Source organism: Homo sapiens, chromosome X (assembly GCF_000001405.40).
Source record: "Homo sapiens chromosome X, GRCh38.p14 Primary Assembly".
Classification (NCBI taxonomy): domain Eukaryota; kingdom Metazoa; phylum Chordata; class Mammalia; order Primates; family Hominidae; genus Homo; species Homo sapiens.
In genome coordinates this window covers 75822133-75826647 of record NC_000023.11, presented here as the reverse complement: position 1 = coordinate 75826647, position 4515 = coordinate 75822133, and the positions used below count along the sequence as shown (strand labels likewise).

Here is a 4515-nt window from a genome sequence, read left to right as displayed (position 1 = left end):
CAGGAAAATGTGGGAAAGTTTTGAACTCACTAGAGACTTGTTGAATGGCTTTGACCAAAATGCTGATAATGATATGGACAATGAAATACAGGCTGAGGTGGTCTCAGATGGAGATGTGGAACTTGTTGGGAACTGGAGCAAAAGTTACTCTTGTTATAGTTTAGCAAAGAAACTGGCAGCATTTTGCCCTGCCCTAGAGATTTCTGGAACTTTGAACTTAAGAGAGATCATTTAGGGTATCTGGCAGAAGAAATTTCTAAGCAGCAAAGCATTCAAGATGTGACATTGGTGCTGTTAAAGGTATTCAGTTTTAAAAGGGAAAGAGAGCATAAAAGTTCAGAAAACTTGCAGCCTGACAGTGTGATAGAAAAGAAATCCTATTTTCTAAGGAGAAATTCAAGCTGGCTGCAGAAATTTGCATAAGTAAAGAGGAGCCAAATGTTAATCACCAAGACAATGGGGAAAATGTTTGCAGGGCATGTCAGAGACCTTTGTGGCAGGCTCTCACATCACAGGGCTGGAGACCTAGGAGGAAGACATAATTTCGTGGGATGGCCAGGGTCCCTCTTCTTTGTGCGGTCTAGGGACTTGGTGACCTGCCTCCCAGCTGCTCCAGCAATGACTAAAAGGGGCCAAAGTACAGCATGGGCCATGGCTTCAGAGGGTGCAAGCCCCAAGCCTTGTCAGCTTTCATGTGATGTTGAGCCTGCAGGTGCACAGAAGTCAAGAATTGAGGTTTGGGAACCTCTGCCTAGGTTTCAGAGAATGTATGGAAACGCCTGGATGCCCAGGCAGAAGTTTGCTGCAGGAGTGGGTAGCTTATGGAGAACCTCTGCTAAAGCAGTGTGGAATGGAAATATGGGGTGGGAGCCCCCACACAGAGTCTCCACTGGAGCACTGCCTAGTGGAGCTTTGAGAAGAGGGCCACCATCCTCCAGAGTCCAGAATGGTAGATTCATCGACAGCTTGCACCATGCACTTGGAAAGGCTGCAGATACTCAACAACAGCCCGTGAAAGCAGCCAGAAGGGAGGCTGTACCCTGAAAAGCCACAGGGATGGAGCTACCCAAGAACATAGAAACCCACTAGTTGTGTCAGTATGACTTAAATGCAAGACATGGAGTCAAAGGAGATCATTTTGGAGCTTTGAGATTTGGCTGTCCTGCTGGATTTTGAACTTGCATGCATCCTGTAGCCGATTTGTTTTGGCCAATTTCTCAGATGAGACATTGGACTGTAAACTGTTGAGTTAATGTTGAGATGAGTTAAGGCTTTGGGGGACTGTTGGTAAGACATGAGTGGCTTTAAAATGTGAGGACATGAGATTTGAGAAGAGCCACAGGCAGAATGGTATGGTTTGGCTGTGCCCCCATCCACATCTCACCTTGAATTGCCATGTGTTGTGGGAGGGAACCAGTGGGAAGTAATTGAATCATGTGGGGAGGTCTTTTCTGTGCTGTTCTTGTGATAGTGAATAAGTGTCACGAGATCTGATGGTTTTAAAAGGGGGAGTTTCCCTGCACAAGTTCTCTATTTTCCTGCTGCCATCCATGCAAGATGTGACTTGCCCCTCCTTGACTTTCACCATGATTGTGAGATCTCCACAGCCATATGGAACTGTGAGTCCATTAAATCTGTTTTCTGTATAAATTATTCAATATCGGGCATGGCTTTATTAGCAGTGTGAAAATGGACTAATACATGTACCACATCATCAGACTAAAAAAGAAAAATTATTTAACCATATCAATTTGCATTTTACAAAGTCCATTGCTCAATCATAATATAAACTCTCAGAAAACTAATTATAAAAAGAAATTTCCTTAACTTAATAAAAAGCATTTGCAAAACACCTACAGCTAACACTACACTTAATGATTACAGGCTGAGTACTTTTCCCTAACATTAAGAACAAAAGGGAAAAAGCCAAGAAGGCTGACTACACATAGCCAGGATGTACTTCTCCCACTGAGAGACAAGATCAAGAACATAAGCACACCCCAAGCAGATCTTTAAAAGTAAGGTATTGAGAGCGGATTGAAGAAGGATGCAGACCCTGGACTGAAGGGGGAGAAATCTGGCAACTTTGCACAGGTTTCTGAGCACTAGGAACAATTCCTAGCACCACACAGTCCCTAGGGAAGGGGTGAGTTAAGTAGGCATGAAGTAGCACATTCTTACTACAGATCTCTAGAATCCTAGCTTCAGGAGGCCTCATGACCCCCATGGACATATGTGCTGGAGGGCTGCTTGGAGAATTGACTCCAACCTGGACTCCAACCTGTGTGGAGCCCAGAGGGTTTGGTATGAAAATTGCTGCAGTGGAGCATGGCCAAAGATGCCCATTCCCCAAGGCTTGCCATGCTTCCCTAGGAGGCTTTGGCCTTTGTTGACTGTCAAACCTGTACAGAACATGGCTATGTGGCCTGTGGGATGGGGCCAGTATGATCTGAACACTGCCCTGTCTGAAAGCCTCTCCCATAGCCCTGCCTGGCCACACCTGTTTGAGATGCAGCCTCAGATGCCAAGCTGGGACATTTCTCAGTGGTCCCTGCCATAGTTTCTTTGCCATCAGACCCTTCCTAACCATCAGAAAGCTACTGTACACCAGCCCACAGCCTACCACTAACTGCTTTACTGACAAACACTTGCACACAGTCTCCTCTCACTGATTGACCAGCACTTACTAACCCATGGCCTCTCCCCACTTATTGACTGGTGCACATGTGCAGATTTCACTGCTGCTGTCCCACCCCTGTAGACATGAAATCTACACTAAGCTCCGGTGACAAATAATTTACTCATGTAACAAACCACTTATATTCCCTGAACCAAAATTAAAGTTAGATGGAAATAAACAAAAACAAGAAAAGAATGTTCACTCCCACCACTCTTATGCAACATTAAAATGAAATTCCTAGTAAGTGCAATAAGACAAGTAGAAGAAATAATAGGAATACATAGTGAAAACAAAACACAAAACTTTATTTGCAAATGACATGATTGTCTACATAGAAAATCCTAAAGAATACACAAAAATAATTTCCTAAAACAAATTATTGAGTTCAGCAATGTCACAGTATACAAGATAAACATATCCAAATCTATTGTATTTTTATATATTAACAATAAGTATGTGACATCAAAATTAAAAATATAATGGCATTTACAATTGCTCAAATAAAAAACCCCATGAAATATTCAGGTGTGAATCTAACCATACATATACAGGACTTTGTTGTTTTGGTATTTAGAAGATCTAAATAAGGATAGTGACATGCTGTGTTAATATATCGGAAGACTCATCATAATGACAACGTTGATTCTACTCAAATTGGTCTATAGGTTAATGCAATTCCTATCAAAATCTCAGAAATTTTTTTGTAGACATTGACAAACTTGTTCTAAAATTTACATAAAATGGCACAAACCCTTGAACATCTAAAACCAATGGGTGGAGATAATGATATGCAAATATCTATAAAAATTGAAAATACAAATATTTTTAAGTTAGAGAATACAATTAATCTACAATACGATAAAGTCTTGTTGATATAATTTTACCTCTAGGCTGGATGACCATATTAGTAGTGATGATTTTATTTTTTTCCTCAGTGGTTCCTTTCTTTACTTTTTTTTTTTTTAATTTAGATTGCTCTTTCCTATTTCAATAGCTTTTGGGGAACAAGTTGTTTTGGTTAAATTGCTAGGTTTTTAGTGGTGATTTTTTGAGATTTTGGTGCACCTGTCATACAAGCAGTGTACACTGTACCCAATATGTAGTTTTTATCTTTCACACCCCTCTCAATGTTTTCCCCAAGTCCACAAAGTTTATTATATCATTCCTAGGCTTTAGCATCCTCATAGCTTAGTTCCCATTTATAAGTGAGAACGTAATGTTATTTGGTTTTCCATTCCTGAGTCACTTCACTTAGAATAATGATTTCCAACTCCATCCAAGTTACAACAAATGCCATTATTTCATTTCATTTTATGGCTAAATAGTACTCCATGGTGTATATATACCACAATTTCTTTATCCACTCTTTGATTGATGGGCATTTAGGTTGGTTCCATATTTGAGCAATTGAGAATTGTGCTGCTATGCTATAAACCTGTGTGTCTATGTGCCTTTTTCAGACAGTGACTTATTTTCCTTTGGGTAGATACCCAGTAGTAGGATTGCTGGTTCAAATAATAGTTCTACTTTTAGCTATTTAAAGAATTTCCATACTGTTTTCCATAGTGATTGTACTAGTTTACATTCCCACTAGCAGTTTAAAAGTGTTCAATTTTCACCACATCCACGACAACATTAATTTTTTCTAATTTTTTAAATTATGGCCATTCTTGCAGGAGTAAGGTGGTATCTCATTTTGGTTTCGATTTGCATGTCCCTGATAACTTGTGATGTTGAGCATATTTTCTTTTATTATTATTATTATTATTACACTTTAAGTTTTAGGGTACAAGTGCACAACGTGCAGGTTTGTTACATATGTATACATGTGCCAT

General features: G+C 39.9%; 1 annotated feature.

The window, feature by feature from the left end:
* Positions 400 to 694: a silencer, noted in NCBI's record as "tiled region #1365; K562 Repressive non-DNase unmatched - State 24:Quies". NCBI's record gives its function as "represses a minimal TATA promoter and a strong SV40 promoter by Sharpr-MPRA in K562 cells {active_cell/tissue: K562}" and the evidence as "EXISTENCE:reporter gene assay evidence [ECO:0000049][PMID:27701403]".